We start from the raw sequence: 17,231 nt of genomic DNA, 5'->3' as shown, positions 1-17,231 counted from the left end.
AACACTTGCCCCTCTTCCTTCCTTCCCCCCTTATAGTCCCCAGTGTCTATAGTTCTTGTCTTTATGTCCATGTGTACTCAATGTTTAGCTCCCACTTATAAGTGAGAATATGTGGTATTTGGTGTTCTGTTTCTGCATTAGTTGGCAGCTGTATCCATGTTGCTTAAAAGGACATGATTTCATTCTTTTTCGTGGCTGTGTAGTATTCCATGGTGTATACATAGCACATTTTCTTTATCTAGTCACTGTTGGTGTCTTTGTCCATTTTTCTATTGCATTGTAGGTCTTTGCTTTCTTATTTGTAGAAGCTCATTATATGTTAGGGAAGTTGGTCTTTGGTCTATAATAGAGCTAGGCATATTTTTGCAATTTGTCATTTTTTGGCTATGTTTATGGCTTTTTCTATGCAGAAAATTTTGATGTTGAAAGATTGAATGTATTAATCTTTTCTTGTATAATTCTGGATTTAATGTCATCATTAGAAATGCCTTCTCCACTTTAAGGTGAATAACTCTCTTTTAGTTTCTTCTAATACCATGATGATATCATTTTATGAATTTAAATATTAATATCTACTTGGACTTTATCCAGGTCAGGTGTAAGGAATAAATTCAACTTTGATATTTTTCTCATTTGATTGACTTTCATTTTACACTGTTCCATGATGATGGCTGCTTCTTGCTTTGTGACACTCAAGGTTTTGCCAACATTCTCTACAGTTGTTTTAAAAATCTAAGTATTCATCGACTTTAATTAGCAAAACAGTTACTCACCGAGTTTCTGTAAGTTACTGTAGGCCATGATATATTTTAGAGGTTGGGGAAAGGATAGGGTAAAAAGGTCTTGAAATCACACAAAGAATAATGCTTGTTGCATTTTAATAATCATTGCTTTTTGGAAACGTGCTTACTCAGGTCCTATAGGATTGGGGGAGGTAGTTTGTCCTTGGTTGCATTCTAAGACTCTGCTGAGCCCCAGAGTCTTTTGTTGTTGCTGGAGGCAGTCTTGCTCTTTCACCGAGGCTGGAAGGCAGTGGCGCAGTCTCAGCTCACTGCAACCTCCACCTCCCAGGTTCAAGAGATTCTCCTGGCTCAGCCTCCCGAGTAGCTGGAATTACAGGCATGCATCACCATGCCTGGCTAATTTTTGTATTTTTAGTAGAGGCAGGGTTTCGCCACGTTAGCCAGGCTGGTCTCGAACTCCTGGCCTCAAGCGATCTGCCCGTGTCGGCCTCCCAAAGTGCTGGGATTACAGGCGTGAGCCACCTTACCCGGCAAGCCCCAGAGTCTTAATCAAGAAGAAGCCCACCATGGGGAATGAAGCCCCCTTTAAGACTATACAGGATACGGGAGCCCACCAGCAAAGACAAACAGAGACACATCTCTGTTCCTTAAGCTGTGGATTTTGGCAGTGGGACTGGCCAAATCCAAACACTCGGAAACACTCTACTTAACTACCTTTCACTGCAAGGAGAATGCAATATGCATTGTGACTCTCTAGTGGGATAGAAACTAACGCCACAACAACAGGATGTCATGGTCACTGCTGAGTAGAAATCTTTTGACAAGTACAAACAGACCTCTGCTATAGCACTGTCACATTGCATTATAGTTATTTGTTTACTTTTCTGTCTTTCCCAGGAGCCTGGGATTTTTTTTTAAGAGAGGAAGCTCTTTGTCTTCTTTGAACCCTGTAGCTTAATACACTCACCCCTGTGTGTTGGAATGTGCTCATTGCATGCTCTTTCTCTATGTGGGCAGTCTGCTTACACATCCCACTCTTTAGTACTCACTGTCGAGCAGCCACCATGTGTCAGCCACTGAATGAAGGCACTTCACATCATTGCCTTTTAAAAATTCTCACAATAGTTCTCTAAGGTAGGTACTTCTATTTTCCCCATTGTAATAGTGAGGGAACTAAGGGGCAACAGATAGGTCAAGTAACTTGCCCATGGTCATGGGGATAACAGGTGATGGAACCAAGACTCAAACCCCAAGTGGTCTAACTCCAGTGCCCACTGCTCACAACAGCTACACTACATTGTTTCTCCCCAGTGTCTTGGGAAGAAAATAAATTATATGTAAAACAAGTACTTACATTTTGCCTTCTAGAAGAGTGGCATAATTTATCTCCTGGGATATAAGTTGTTTTTCTGATTGCTGTTGTTTGTTAGAAAAATGCTTTGATGTTCCTATTTCAGTAATCCCACTCCCACTCCACCCAGGGCCGAGCAAGAAGAGAGCGAAACAAAGAAGGCTAAATTAGTTTGTATGAGAAAGAAATAGGAATTTGTGGGGTTTTAGCTGGCTGCTCAGAGAGATAGCCTAAGGATCTAAAAAAGAAGATTGAGATATAAGAGGGTAGAGAACTCTGGCCACTCCATGGGCCAGCTAAATCCTACACAAGTTCAAGGGCAGCAGGAAATTTCCTTTGCTGAGGAAGACTTGAGAAATTAAAAAACAACCCTGACCTATCAGCAATGGTTTGCAACCCACAATAAGCATATGTAAGAGGGATTTTTCAGGGAGGAAGAAAGAAAAATCATATCCAAAGTGAAACAGAATGGTCCAGGGAGTCGGGGGGAGGGCAGCAGAGGCAGGGGCTGAAAGCAGCAGTTTGGAACAGGCAGTAGCAGTGAATCAAGCAGAGTCTCTCAGCCCACAACTAAAACAAAGTCACCCAAAAACCTACAGGAAATATTGTAAGTAACTTTCTACCACGGGCTGGGGGACTTGAACAAAACTGTCTCCCAGGTTGGGTGCAGAGGCTCATGCCTGTCATCTCAGCACTATGGGAGGCCGAGGTGGGCGGGATCGCCTGAGGTCAGGAGTTTGAGACCAGCCTGGCCAACATGGTGAAACCCCATCTCTACTAAAAATACAAAAATTAGCCGGGCGTAGTGGCATATGCCTGTAATTCCAGCTACTCGGGAGGCGGAGACAGGAGAATTGCTTGAACACGGGAGGCAGAGGTTGCAGTGAGCCGAAATCGCACCACTGCACTCCAGCCTGAGCAACAGAGCGAGACTCCGTCTCAAAAACCACCACCACAACCACAACAACAACAACAACAAAACTGTCTCCCAGAATCTGAGGACATGGGGATATCTGGTTATAGTAACCCTCTTTTTTTCCCTTCTGTAGAACCCCATTGCAGTTTGCTCAGCTGCATCAGATAACAATTTCTACCAAAGTGCTTAACATTTTAGTGTCAGTATAGATTAGGGCTTCGTTAACCTCAGCCCTGTTAACATTTTGGGGTGAATAATTCTTTACTGCAGGGATAAAGGCTGGGCATTGTAGGATGTTTAACAGCAACAGCATCTCTAGCCTCTACCCACTAGATGCCAATAGCTTTAACACTCTAAGTTGGGAAAATCAAGAAGGTCTCCGGATACTGCTGAGTATCTCATGGAAGATAAAAATCTCTTCTCCTCCCCGTCATTGAAACCTATTGTGTAGATGTAGATCTTTATTTAGTGCGAACTCATATCCTGTGTTCTTGCATCAAAACATGCCTTTTTTAACCTTAAAAAAAAGCAACAGCACAAGTTTGTGTAAAAATGACTCCCAAACATTTCAAGTGTTTCTACTATCACACTAGGTTGTCCAACCTCCAAATTTCTGGGGAGTGGCTAGGAGTGATGCTGCAGCAAATTCCCAGTTTTTCAAGAATGTTTACACTGTATTTGTGTCATAAGAGTGCTTCAGTTTTCTATTGCCTATATCTACAGACATTGTAGTGGTATCACCATTAACAGAACACTGCAGTTTTGACCTTACATACACATAAAAATTGAGAGTTGGTTATACAAGCTTTCCCTATAAGCAAGAGTCCATTAGAAGTTTCATTATAAGTGAAGGGTATGTGTTAGGGTTGAGTACCCAGCTTTGATACACAGCAGGGCTTAAATGTAGTATGTGCACTACCATAGTCAGATCTATCAGGAAGGCTGCACGATGAGCCACATTCTCCACTGATGTCTTTTGGAGATACTCAAAATGGATGATATTCACACAAGCAGGCACACTGTCATAGGAAAACTCAGATTCAAACTTTGGTGAAACCCAGTATTTTCCAGGGAGGAAAGCAAGGCAATAACTTATAATCACAAAAACTATTATTATCTCCACCAGCCATGGTCTTTTAGTGCTACTGCACAGATATAACTGATGTGTGTGATTCCCCAGATAGCTTGCTGCAATTTGACCTATTCTTTCTGCTCAAAAAATGCACTTCAGGCCAGGCGCGGTGGCTCTCACCTGTAATCTAAGCACTTTCGGAGGCCGAGGCAGGTGGATCCCCTGAGATCAGGAGTTCAAGACCAGCCTGGCCAACATGGCAAATCCCCATCTCTACTGAACATACAAAAATCAGCCAGGCTTGGTGGTGCATGCCTGTAATCCCAGCTACCAGTTCTGAGGGGGAGCTGAGGCAAAAGTATCACTTGAACCTGGGAGGTGGAGGTTGCAGTGAGCCGAGATCGTGCCACTGCACTCCAGCCTGGGCAACAGAGCAAGACTCCATCTCAAAAAAAAAAAAAAATGCACTTCAATACAAGAAAATGAGAGACTCTTGACTTATGATTCTAAATTATCACCATCAAATATAATTCTTTTGTTAATGACGAATTCTTGTGTGAAACGTCTCACAACTGAATGCCATACAGTGGAATAGAACCTGTTTACTGGGAAGGGTGTAGGATTGGGATTCAGAGAGACTGTGTTCATTTCTGGATTGTAACTCACTACCTGTTGCTTAAGAAAGCAAGTCTATTTCCTCATCTGTGGAATGCATAAAATGACCCCTTTATCTCAGGCTTACTGAGAGAATTAAATCAGGTTTGAAACAGTATGCTGTAAATTGCCAGGCAAGTGTCAATCATTGTCATTGTCTCCCACAGCTGCCAGTTCCTTGCATGGGCCACCATGTCTGTAGCATAGCCCCATAGAGTGTCTAGATTTTTCCTGCTACAAGCCCACAGAAGAGCCTCCTCAGTGATGCAATACATACGTTAATTTCTTAAGGTTAAAAAATAATTTCTCTAAATTGAGGTGAGTTGATATACTTTTCCAACCCAAATATCAGGTCTACTTCAGCAGCTGCTAAAGGAAAGAAATTACCCCTGCTCCTATTTCTCTCTGCTCCTGCAGAGTAAAACAGCAGCTAAAAACCAAGATTCTCTGACACTATTTCCTTTCTCAGCATTATAGGCCAGTATCCTGGGATCTGACATTAACCATTAGGAATTTCTTCAGCAGCAGCAGACTGGGAAAAGCAACTGCCAGTACTAAAGGAATACATTAAAACTCTTTTAAAAAAAAAAGTCACGAAGATAGTTGGATATGCTGAGTTGACTCAGACTCTTCAATATAGAGCAGTCATCTTGATGGCAACATTCATCCTGACTACGCTAAACAGGTGACCTATTCTATCAGCGATGGTGTCCAGAGCCATTGAAACACAATGTACATCATTATGTCATATACGAGGGGAAAGTTGACTAAGGTTCCAAGATCCCAAGGGTTTTAATTAATAGGAAAATTTGATTCAATAATAGTCATTTAAAAAAATGGAAGGAAAACAAGGGGAGGGAGTGATAAGGGTGGGAAGCATAGACAGGAAGCTGTATAAAATGCCCTGAAGGCTTGAAGTTGGCACTACTATAAGTCAGGGCCAGATTAGCTAGGGGACTGAAATAGCCGCAGAGAAAGAGTCCAGGAGCTACCAACACAACCATTCTAATCATGTTCTTCTCTTATCAAGCAAACTCCACTTCCTTTCTTTATCATCTACTTTATAAGTGCTCACTAGTGGCTCCACTACCAGCTTCCCCTGCAGAACTGAGAGGCTCAACTATTCCTGTTGGGGTAAAAATGATGAGAAAAATATCTCAGGATATTTCTGACTCTCTTCTCTCCACCCCCATGAACATCTCCCACCCCCAGGGCCCCAATTCTGCTTTTCTTCACTTAAAAAACTTCAAGCCAGGCCAGGTGCAGCGGCTAATGCCTGTAATCCCAACATTTTGAGAGGTTCAGGTGGGCAGATCCCTTGGGCTCAGGAGTTCGAGACCAGCCTGGGCAACATGGCAAAACCCTGTCTCTACAAAAAATATAAAAAATGAACTGGGCATGGTGGTGTGCATCTGCAATCCCAGCTGGGGCTACCCAGGAGGCTGAGGCGGGAGGATCAACTGATCTTGAGAGGTCAAGGCTGCAGTGAACCGTGATTACACCACTGCATTACAGCTTGGGCGATGGAGTGAAACCCTGTCTCAGAAAAAATTTAAACCCTCAAATCATCCCTCTTCGGTGAAGCCTTCCTTGACCTCTCCAGCACTTACTAATTTTTATTTTTCTTAATACCTATGACTTGTACATAACACAGTAAATGGACACAGTAGACATATTTCTGTCTCATGTGTGCTGACCTTTTCTTCTCAAATAGATTATAAACACTTTGAGGACGGGACTCATTTTAAACTTCTTGAAATCATCTGCCAAATTCTGTGATTTGGTGATTAGCCCGGCTAGGATCAACTTAGGCCCTAGAGTATCTCTATAGTTGGGGAGAATGTAAAAAGCTTTAGAGGTACTAAAAACGCAAAAATGAAAAGCAGAGTATGAGTTTCTCAGCATGATAGCATCAAATCAGCCTTGCTACTGGACCTACACAAACCTTTTCTTTGATTCTAGTAGCCAGTCTTATTCCTGAAGATCAAGTCCCTAACAGCCTGTCCGTAGGTCCCTTTTCAGTGACTCTTGTTGATATCTCATTTGTTCTAGATTGTGCGCTTTCTCTTGCTAATCCTTTAAAAAAAAAAAAGAAACCCAAATCCTGCCTCTGAACCTCACCCTCGAAGGTGCAGTCCCTGCTACCCACTATCCTGAGCAGCCCCTTTGGATTTCATGACTGCCCAGACCTCTGTAGTGCGTGGGCTGTGCTCCACCCACCTGTAGTTAATCTCACACCCTACCTGGCACTGGCTGGCCAGTCTGCTTCTTTGGTCTGCCTCTTTCTGCCAAGATCTTCTGGAAACGCCTGCCTTGCTCCTGGGCTCCTGGCTGGTCCCCGCATCCTTTCCATTTTGCCATCAACTAAGCCATCATTCTCAGATTTAAGAAAAAGAATTCCCCTCAATATTAAAGACACAGCAGACACATACACGTGCAAATACCCATAGTCATAAGTTCCTTTATCATTGAGAAAATTTTTACTACCTTCCTAAATTTATATTCTCCCTTTTCAGGCATTTAGCATCATCTCTAGGTCTTCCAATGTTATGCTTGGAATTTTCTTTAAATAAAAGTGGCCCTTAGAGGTCATTTACTCCAACCTTCTTATTTTACTCCTGGTCTCTACTACCCTACCTTTACGCATCTATTTAGAAGCTAGTGGCACAGGATTTTTGCTAATGATGCCTTTATTGAGGGATTTTCTTTGTCTGTTAGTAAATTACCATGATGCTAGAAGATTTTACAGAAAGTCTCAACTTAGTAATCAGCTACCATCAAAATACATTTATCTATTATTAAGGTAAGACAATTTCCTTCTCAGCCCCAGAAGGGAGGCACATGCACACAAGTATGCACACACACACACACTCACAATGTGATCAGCCAGCTCTCTGTCTGGAAAAATCAAAATACCTCCCAGCTGGAATGACAGCATCATTTTATTAACGCTGAAATAGGAGGGTGATAAAGCAAGTCTCAGCAGGCATAGCAGAAATGCACTGCTTTTATGATTCATATTTCAAAAATGATGCCATGGGAGCAAAAATGCAAAGCAGAGCTTATTATATGCTAGCAAAAATGGAGTGAAGGGTAGTCACCTCAGCTGTGCCTTTTAAGCTCTAAAGGAAGCAACACCACTACCAATTTTCTCTCCTCACCCTGAGGTTGCAACAGACACTTGGATTTGTCTACAGCCATTACTTCATTGTTCTCTGTGCTGTGAGTGGGCTAAGAAAATGATGTTGTTTCCTGTGTGATGATCTTGCTAGAGCTTTGGAGGTACTAAGGAGAATTGCAAAGAAACAGAATCATTAGTACAGTCATCCTTCATCCCTAGTTGTGGGGGGTGGGGAGAAATTGCTTCCAGGACTCCAGGATACCAAAATCTGGGGGATGCTTAAGTCCCTAATATAAAATGATGTAGTACTTGTATGTAACCTATGCACATCCTCCCATAGTTTAAATCATCTTTAGATTACTTATAATATCTAATACAATGTAAATGCTATGTAAATATGTGTTACACTGTATTATTTTTATTTTTATTGTGTATTATTATTATTTTTTTAGTGTTTTTCACCCTCAGTTGGTTGAGTCTGTATATACAGAACCTGTGGATATGGAGGGCCAGCTATATTGTCCTCCGTAGCGCCACCTCTTGATGAGGGGCTGTTGTTGGCCCCTGCAATAGACTGAATGTCTGTCCTCCCCAGATTTATATGTTGAAACCTAATTCTCCTCATGATGGTATTTGGAGGTGAGACTTTTGGGAGGCGATGAGATGTAGCCCTCATGTATGGGATTAGCACCCTTTTAAAAGAGATCCCAGAGAGGTCCTTTGTCCCTTCTGCCATGTGAAGACAGCCATCTATGAACCAGGTAACAGGCTCTCACCAGACACAAAATCTGCTGGCACCTTGATTTTGGACTTCCAAGCCACCAGAACTGTGAGAAATACATTTCTGTGGTTTATGAGCCATTCAGTGTATAGTATTTTGTTATAGCAGCCCAGATGAACAACACAACTATGCTTTCCAAACCCAGAATCCACAGGGTATGTGTGCTGCTTCTCTCTCTGCTTTGCTTGGGGAGAAAGGAATATAAAGGACCCCTGGGAATCCCTTCCCCTGGAGGTTTCCAGCTGCCTGCTTTTGACTTTGACTTCTCTTCTCTCACATGCAAGTAAAGAAAACAATACTGGGTTAACATTTTCTAAGCTGTACAACCTTAGGACAGTGCCATTGGAAGGAAAATAGGCTAGAAATCAGAAAAGATGGGCTTGATTCCAAAGATTTCAGTCAGATCTTTGACGTCAAGATATCACAAACCCTCCTTCTTCAAAGTGCAGGCACTGTCTGTTGGCTCACATCATCCGTGAGCACTTAGAGTTCCTTGAGTAAGAAGTACTGCCTTCTATAAACATCTCTGCATCTGGAGACTTATTCCTGGACATTGCTAATGAGTCAGTGAAAAACCCCAAATGATCTATGTATCAATTCCTGTTTTACACTTTCAGTTTATACAATAAATGAGAAAAAGGGCTAAGCTCAATTTGCTGGAAGTTGACAGTCCATTTTTATTTTGAAATCATTGTTGGTAATTTCATACCAAAGGAGAGGCTTACAGCAAGAGAGTAGAAATGAAAGCAGAAATGAGAAAGCTTATATAGTCTCAATTTCGATGACTCTAAAAACATTGATCAATCAACAATGCAGCTCATCCAGGAAAACCAAAACACTTTGTGGTAGGCAGAATTCTAAGCCCCTAAGGTTTCCTGCCTCTGGGATCTGTGAGCCTTCTCCCACTTACTCAATCAAACAGCAACCTAGATTCTGCTGTGAAGGGATTTTGCAGATGTAATTAAGGTCCCAAGATAGGGAGATTGTCTGGGTGGGCTTGATCTAATAGCACGAGCCCTTTAACTCTGAGTCTGGAGGTCAAAGACAGAAAAAAATCAAAGAGGTTTGAAGCATGAGAAGAATTCAACAAAGGGGAGATTCTCTATTGCTGACTATGAAGATAAAAGGACCAAGTGGTAAGAAATGCGGCAGTTTCTAGGAACTGAGAGTGGCCCCCAGCTGACAGCCAGCCAGGAAACAGGGACCTCAGTCCCCCAACCGCAAGAAACTGAATCTGTGACAACCAGAATGAGCTTCCACAAGGCCCTTGAGCTCCAGATAAGAACACTGCCCAGCTGACATCTTGATTTAGCCCTGTGAGGAGATCAGTGGAGTCACACCCTTCCCAGTTCTGGGGGAAAACCTGTAAAGTAATGAATGGGGAGTTGTTTTAAGGGGATAAATTTATGATGATTTAGTATGCAGCATAGAACTAAAATCCACACTTCCTGAATGGTTTTAAAGCCTCTTAGCCTAACCCTAAGACCAAAACCCAACCTCCTTCAAAGAGAAACCTGCCAACCACTGTGAACCAAATCTATCAGACAAGTCTCTTGTGATTCAAATTATAACCCACGGCCCGACAGCATACATGTGGCCTAAGAAATGCAGCATCTCAGGTCCCATCTGGATCTACTGAATCAAAACCTTCATTTTAACAAATCGCCTGGTGACTTATATACACATTAAAGTGTGAGAAGCACCAGTTAGCATTTTAATGCAGAGCTGGAGATCTGGAATCAGCAAAACCCATGTTCCCAAGCTGGCTCTACAGTTTTACTAGCTATGCGGACTTAGACAAGTTACTTAACCTCTCTGAACTTCTATTAATCGGTAAAATGGAGCAGGTAATAGTACTGACTTTATAGAGTTGTGGTGAGGATTAAATGGGACAGTATGTAAAGTGCTTTAGCCCTGCATTTTGGCCTGTCGTTAGCCTGGCAAACAGTAAGGGCTTAATAAATTGTTGCTTATTATTGGATTGGGCAGTAATAGCATCAATTGAATGTAGAGGGAGCAGGTAAACTGTATCAGTTGGAAACTTGCAGGATCACTGTGGCTGGCATCCTCTGATTAAATATGTTGTCACGCAGCTCCTCAGAGACTGCAAAAGGTTGTGACCTTGGTTTTCTACCTAACACAAGGCTGGGTCAGCCATGCCATTCCATCCCAATGCCTGTAACCATCTGTGTATCCCCCGACCCTCTCCCTTGTCGGTATTTAACCTCACTGGGCTTGACCTCACTTAGCTAATGAGATCTGGCCAGAAACCATGGAGATGGTTGTCAGCAACTCGGGGCAGGTGGTATCCCTGAATACCAATGGCAGCTCAATCCACAGAAAAGATGAAGAGATGTGCCAGGGGCAAAACACAGCCTGTTGAACTGTTTTAACAGAAATCTAAGGTTCTTCTTATTTTTGTTGGAGGGAATGATGGCAATGGTGACAATGGTGTTGGCATTACTGAGTATAAGAATGAATGTATAAATCAACAGTGACAAATGAGTAATACATAAGCCAGAGAGCTTTTGTGATCAATTCTGCAGAGGCCCGTTCCCCCTCCTGGTGGTTTCTCTGTTCTTGGCAAAGACTCCTCTCACTTGCTTTATTTCTCAGCCTGAGCCACAGCAATCTCTATAGTTCAATATAAATAATGAGGGTGATATTGATAATAACAATAGCTCTCATTTATTGAGTGCTCCAAGTGCCAGGCACTCTTCATATATTATTTATACTCCTTATAACAACTCTTTGAGGTAGACATTATTATGTTCCTTTTTAGCCAAGGAAACAGAAGCCTCAGAGAGGTTAAGTGGCTTGCCCAAGTTTACACAGCAGATAAGATAGTCTTGGATTCAAACCTGAGTCTGTTTGACTCTGAAACCTGTGCTTTCTTCGCTTTATCTCCGCAATACAGCTGTCATCCTTGACTGGGCTCTTGGCCCTTTGCCTGGACACTGTATCTGGGCCTTCGATACTACTGCCCAGTCAGCTCCTGAGCTGCCTTGCTCCTGTCCTTCCAGGTTTGCACCGCTTTGGCTTCTGTCTTTGCTCAGATGCTCACCTGTCTGGCCCCTGGAAACATATGGCGCTCACCTATTTCTTGTCGGTCCACATGGTTCTGCCCGTGGGTTTTCTAATCTCACTGCTCATAAGCAAGCTTGCTGGGCCTGACTCATGAAGGAGTGGCTTGATGCTCCCAGACTCTGGGTAACTGTCCCTCATTCTAGACCCTCCTGCCTCATAAGTAGAGTCTCCCCTATCATCCAGCCTGGCTCACCATTGCAGAAGAATGTTTCCTGCCTGTGTCAGAGAAACCAGCCACCTGGGTTCTTCTATCTGCTCCTGCTGTGCTCTGTCTTGAATACTCTTCCTTTCTTTCAAAACCACATTCTATTGCTCAGCTCATACCTGACTCAAAACCCAACCTACTGCCCACAGACTAAGATCTCGACCTGGAATTATATCCTATTACTATCTGGCCTCACTGACCCTTTCAAGTTCCAACCTTATTTTCCAGCCAATTGTTTCCCATCCTTTCTCTGTGATTTTCTGCTCGGCCTTTTCTCCTGCTCTTCTCTGCCAGGAATGCTCATTTCCTCTGTGCTAGTTCAGGATCATCCAAGATCTAGCATAAAATCCATCTTCTTTACAAAAAATGGCCCTAACCTTCCCAGCTGGAAATGGTCTCTTCCTTTCATTGATCTACTGTGGCACTGTATCTAGTGACACCTAACAGTTTTCTACATTTTGCCGTAGTTAATTGTATACATATTTTTTCTCCCCTTTTACACTATAAGGTCTCTGAGAACAGAGAGCATCTGATTTTTTTTTTCTTTTTTCTTTTTTGAGACAGAGTGTCACTCTGTCGCCAGGCTGGAGTGCAGTGGCACAATCTCGGCTCACTGCCTCCTGGGTTCAAGCAATTCTCCTGCCCCAGCCTCCCGAATAGCTGGGACTACAGGTGCACGGCACCAAGCCCAGCTAATTTTTGTATTTTTAGTAGAGACGGGGTTTCACCATATTGGTCAGGCTTGTCTCGAGCTCCTGACCTCAGGTGATCCACCCACCTCGGCCTCCCAAAGTGGTGGGATTATAAGCGTGAGCCACCGCGCCCGGCCTATTTTTTCCTTTTTGATGGCCTTACAGTGCCTAGCAAAATGCCTTGCTCAGAGTAAGTGCTTGATATAAATTTATTAATCCATCAGCTGGATGGATGGATGGATGGATGGATGGATGGATGGATAGATGGATGGATGAATGGATGGATGGGAAGGAGGTTATAGGAATTGAGACTCTGGCTGAGCTTTTTTAGCCAGGTAGCCATGGCAGGAGAAAGGCTTCACCTTTCATGAGAGCGTATGGTCATAATCACAGAAGGGAAAGAATAGCTTGAACCATAGCTTGAACCAGTTAACCATGCTGCCAATAAAATCAGGCCACATGTGTTTACCATGTTTTATGTTTACCAGGCTGCATCAGTAGGATACTTTAAAATATGGGACAGAAATCCTGACTCAACCTCAAACTAGCTTTTATCATAAAGAAATGTATTGGCTCCAATGCAGGATGTCAAAGGCTGGGTAGGATTCAGGACTGGTGGATCCAGTGGCTCTTTGCATCTCTCTGCTGTGCTATCCCCAATGCTGACTTCATTCTGGGGAAAGATCCCTGGGTTTTGGAAGGCTTCCAGTAGTTGCTGGGTTAATTGCTTCCCTTTTCACCTCCTACTAACTTCCTGTGACTCTTTCTTAAGGGTAAGAAAGCATATTTTCCGGAAGTGTTTAGAAAACTCTTTATGACTCATTGGTCCCAATTGGCCTTGGCCTGCCTACCCCAGACCCATTCACTAGCAACGGGGATGGGGGTGGGGTTCACATCACTCAGGACCCACCCTAGAGCTGCAGTAGAACCTGTGATGGAGAGTCACTCCAACACCCCTTACACAGCAGACAGTTTTATGGGGGCCACTCCAATGAAAGGTTGGCTCTTAGGACCTTCTCATTTTAGACACGCAGTAAACAATGAAAAACATGTCATCCAAGAGATCTCATTGTCACGGATCTTACAATATATCTCTTGCCTAAGAGTCTTCCGGTGTTTCTTGTGCAAATCCAGCGGTTAGTCAACAGGGTTTATGGAACACATGCTGTTTAGATAGTGTTACTCTAAGCACTGTACAAAGTTAGAAAAACAAGACAATGCAGCTACTTAAAAAAAATTTTTTTTAGAGACAAGGTCTTGCTCTGTTGCCCAGGTTAGCTTCAAACTCCTGGGCTCAAGCAATCCTCCTACATCAGCCTCCTTAGTCACTGGGATTATAGGCGTGTGCTGCACTGCCTGGCTTATTTTTTTTTTAACAGTAGAATGAGCATTGAGGAAAGTAGTTCTCTTCTGTTAATTCTGCTCCGTTATTTTCCAGAGTGTAGAAACTGCTTGATTTCCTTCCTCCTTTCTTTGTCCCCTCTTATTCAGCTCTCTCTTTCCTGTCACTAATTTTCTCCTTTCTTATTCTTTCCTCATTTCAGGAAAGCAACATAGCGGAGATTAGGAGTGTAGAATCTGGAGTTAGATTTCTTGGGTGGGAATTCTCACTTTGAGTTCTAGCTGTGACTTTCCAGCCGTTACTTCATTTCTCTAAGCTTCTTTTCACTGGTAAATCATGTCTAAACATTATGCCTACCTCCTTGGGTTATTCTCGAATTTTAAAAATGATGCACATTAAAAATGATTACTAATGGTTAATGATTTTAATTTTCTTCTTCATCTTTTTTTAATTATGCCACATTTTGTGTCCTGTTCCTCCCTCCTACATCCCACAGTGATAGGCTGATAGAAAATAGTCAGAAATAGAGTGCACAGAATCAACTTCCTAGTGAGAAATGGAATGGAACCATTTCAGTTCCTTCTCTTTTCTTCATTATACTTCGAGTATTTAAAGAGTGCTATGTGAATACATTTAAGGCAATGGAAATGTACAAAACCAGTTGAGAGGAACACATATGTGGTACATATGGAAGCGGAAGTATGAATGCTCTGTTCTGCATAAGAATCCCCCAGCTCTCAGTTGCTTCATCGAGGCCTGGTTTGTTCAATTGGTTAGAGCACCTTCTGATGTAACCAAGATCACGGTTTCAATTCCAGAATGTGGTGAGCCTACTTTATCTATTTGATGGCTACAGCCTCCTCTGCTGAACCTGGCAACCATCTGTAAATGCATCCATTGTTTAGAAAATGATCAATCAGAGGAGCCCGGTTGAAGCAATGCAAATCAATCACCTTACTAGGAAACAACACGACAACAGAAAGTACATGCTATCATGGTGGTGGGTTAACTGTATGATGTTTGTACATGAAGAAGGCATAGACCATGACATCATTATAGAGTTCATGGAAAACAAATAGGTTTGAAGCTATAGGTTCCACAGCAATTCACAGCCTATAAAAAAGATTACTGCTACGTCCCTTGTTTTTAAGGCCCCCAGCTCTTCTTAGAGACCATTTAGAGAATAACTGCCTGTTCCTCTAGACTAGACTCAATTGCTAGAAGTATCTCATATGGGAAGACTTTCCTGACATCTTGTTCTCCTCTTCTCAACTTAATTTCTCTCCAACCTCCACCCCTTCTAGAATTATGTGCTCTCTTTACTATGCTCCTTTTATGTCACATAATGATGGTTACTATCTAAGTCAGCTTAGGCTGCCATAGCATAACATGTTATGGCACTGGGTGACATAATACCCAGTCTATGTTATGGATTGGGTGGCTTAAACAACAAAAATTTATTTTCTGACATGTCTGGAGGCTGGAAGTATGAGTATCAAGGTCCCAGCACGGTCAGGTTCCTGTAAGGACTCTCTCCTTGGCTTGTAGATGGCTGCCTTCCCTCTGTGTCCTCACATGGTGGAGAGAGAGAGAGAGAGAGAGAGAGAGAGAGAGAGGGAGAGAGAGAGAGAGAGAGAGAGAGAGAGACTGCAAGCTGTCTGCTATCTCCTCTCATAAGGGTACTAATCCCATTATGAGGACTAATATGGTTTGGATGTTTGTGCCATCCCAATCTCTTGTTGAAATGTGATTCTCAGTGTTGGATGTGGGGCCTGGTGGGAGGTGATTGGATCATGGGGGTGGATCCCTCATGAATGGCTTAGCACCATCCCCTTGATGATAAGTAAGCTCTTGCTCTGAGTTCATGTGATATCTGGTCATTTAAAAGTGGATGGAGGCTAGGTGCGGTGGCTCACACCTATAATCCCAGCACTTTGGGAGGCCGAGGCAGGCAGATCACAAGGTCAGGAGTTCAAGACCAGCCTGGCCAATATGATGAAACCCCGTCTCTACTAAAAATACAAAAATTAGCCAGGGATGGTGGCGGGTGCCTGTAGTCCCAGCTACTCAGGAGGCTGAGACAGGAGAATCACTTGAACCGGGGAGGCAGAGCTTGCAGTGAGCTGAGATCGCGCCACTGTACTCCAGCCTGGGTGACAGAGCGAGACTCCATCTCAAAATGATAATAATAACAATAATAATAAGTGAAAGTGTATGGCACTGTCCTCCTCTCTCTTGCTCCCACTCCCACCATGTGATGTGCCGGCTCCTCTTCCTTTCTGCCATGATTTTAACTTCCTGAGGCCCTCACCAGAAGCAAATGCCAGCTCCATGCTTCCTATACAGCCTGCGGAATGGTAAGCCAAATAAGCCAAATACCCCTCTTTTCTTTATAAATTATCCACAACTTCATGTATTTCTTTATGGCCACACAAGAATGGCCTCGTACAAGAACCTATCTGGTAACCTCATCTAAACCTAATTCCTTCCCAGAGGCCCCATCTCCAAATACTATCGCATTGTGGGCTTGGGTTTCAATGTATGAATTTGGGGGGACACAATTCAGTACATAACAGTTACAATTCTTTTTGCAGCAATGCATGTTACTTTGATATGAGTGATATCCATGTAACACGGAAGACACACTGATGCATACATGATTTTCCTAGCAACTTAATATCAGGGTAAGCTTTTCTACATTTGCAGAAAAAGCCTTAGCCATATATGAATACCTTCAGAACAGACTGAAATTGATAGTGCAAGTTCTGCTTGGTTTAATGGCTTTGAGTATTGCTGCCCTTTCCACCAGTTAAACTATTCGGGGAAACTAAGAGTATAATGATGGAGTTGTGAAAACATTTCCCTCTATAGATACATTGAACAAAAGAAAGAGGCTACGCCATGGATCATTCAAAAATTTTTGAAGAAAATTATCTAGATGCTGTTAAATGAAGTTTGGCCTAAAGCTGCCTCTGTATATATTTTAAGTCTGGCCTAAAGGTTTCTCCATACACAGTGAACTGTAACCTAATTTGATGCATAAACAGACTGGTAACTGAGTCTCAGCCAATCACAGCAGCCAAATTTCAGTTAACCACAGGCAGCCAACTGTTCAAACCAGGTTCAAATAAGGCAAAGGCCCCAGCTGTAGCCAATCCAGCCGTTTCTGTACCTCCCTTATGCTTTCTACAGGTCAATTTCCTTTTTCTGTCCATAAATGTTACCTAATAAATGTGGCATAAATGTGGCAGCCCTGGAGTCACTCTG

The 17,231-nt window shown here is 42.8% G+C and overlaps 2 annotated features.

Annotated features, from left to right (window-relative positions):
• Positions 2,454-2,613: an enhancer, noted in NCBI's record as "active region_8669". NCBI's record gives its function as "activates an Ori minimal core promoter by ATAC-STARR-seq in GM12878 lymphoblastoid cells {active_cell/tissue: GM12878}" and the evidence as "EXISTENCE:reporter gene assay evidence [ECO:0000049][PMID:35858748]".
• Positions 9,098-9,407: an enhancer, noted in NCBI's record as "active region_8668". NCBI's record gives its function as "activates an Ori minimal core promoter by ATAC-STARR-seq in GM12878 lymphoblastoid cells {active_cell/tissue: GM12878}" and the evidence as "EXISTENCE:reporter gene assay evidence [ECO:0000049][PMID:35858748]".

This window comes from Homo sapiens, chromosome 14, assembly GCF_000001405.40.
Source record: "Homo sapiens chromosome 14, GRCh38.p14 Primary Assembly".
Classification (NCBI taxonomy): domain Eukaryota; kingdom Metazoa; phylum Chordata; class Mammalia; order Primates; family Hominidae; genus Homo; species Homo sapiens.
The sequence above is the reverse complement of the archived record's forward strand: the minus strand, read 5'-3'. Positions and strand labels throughout refer to the sequence as shown.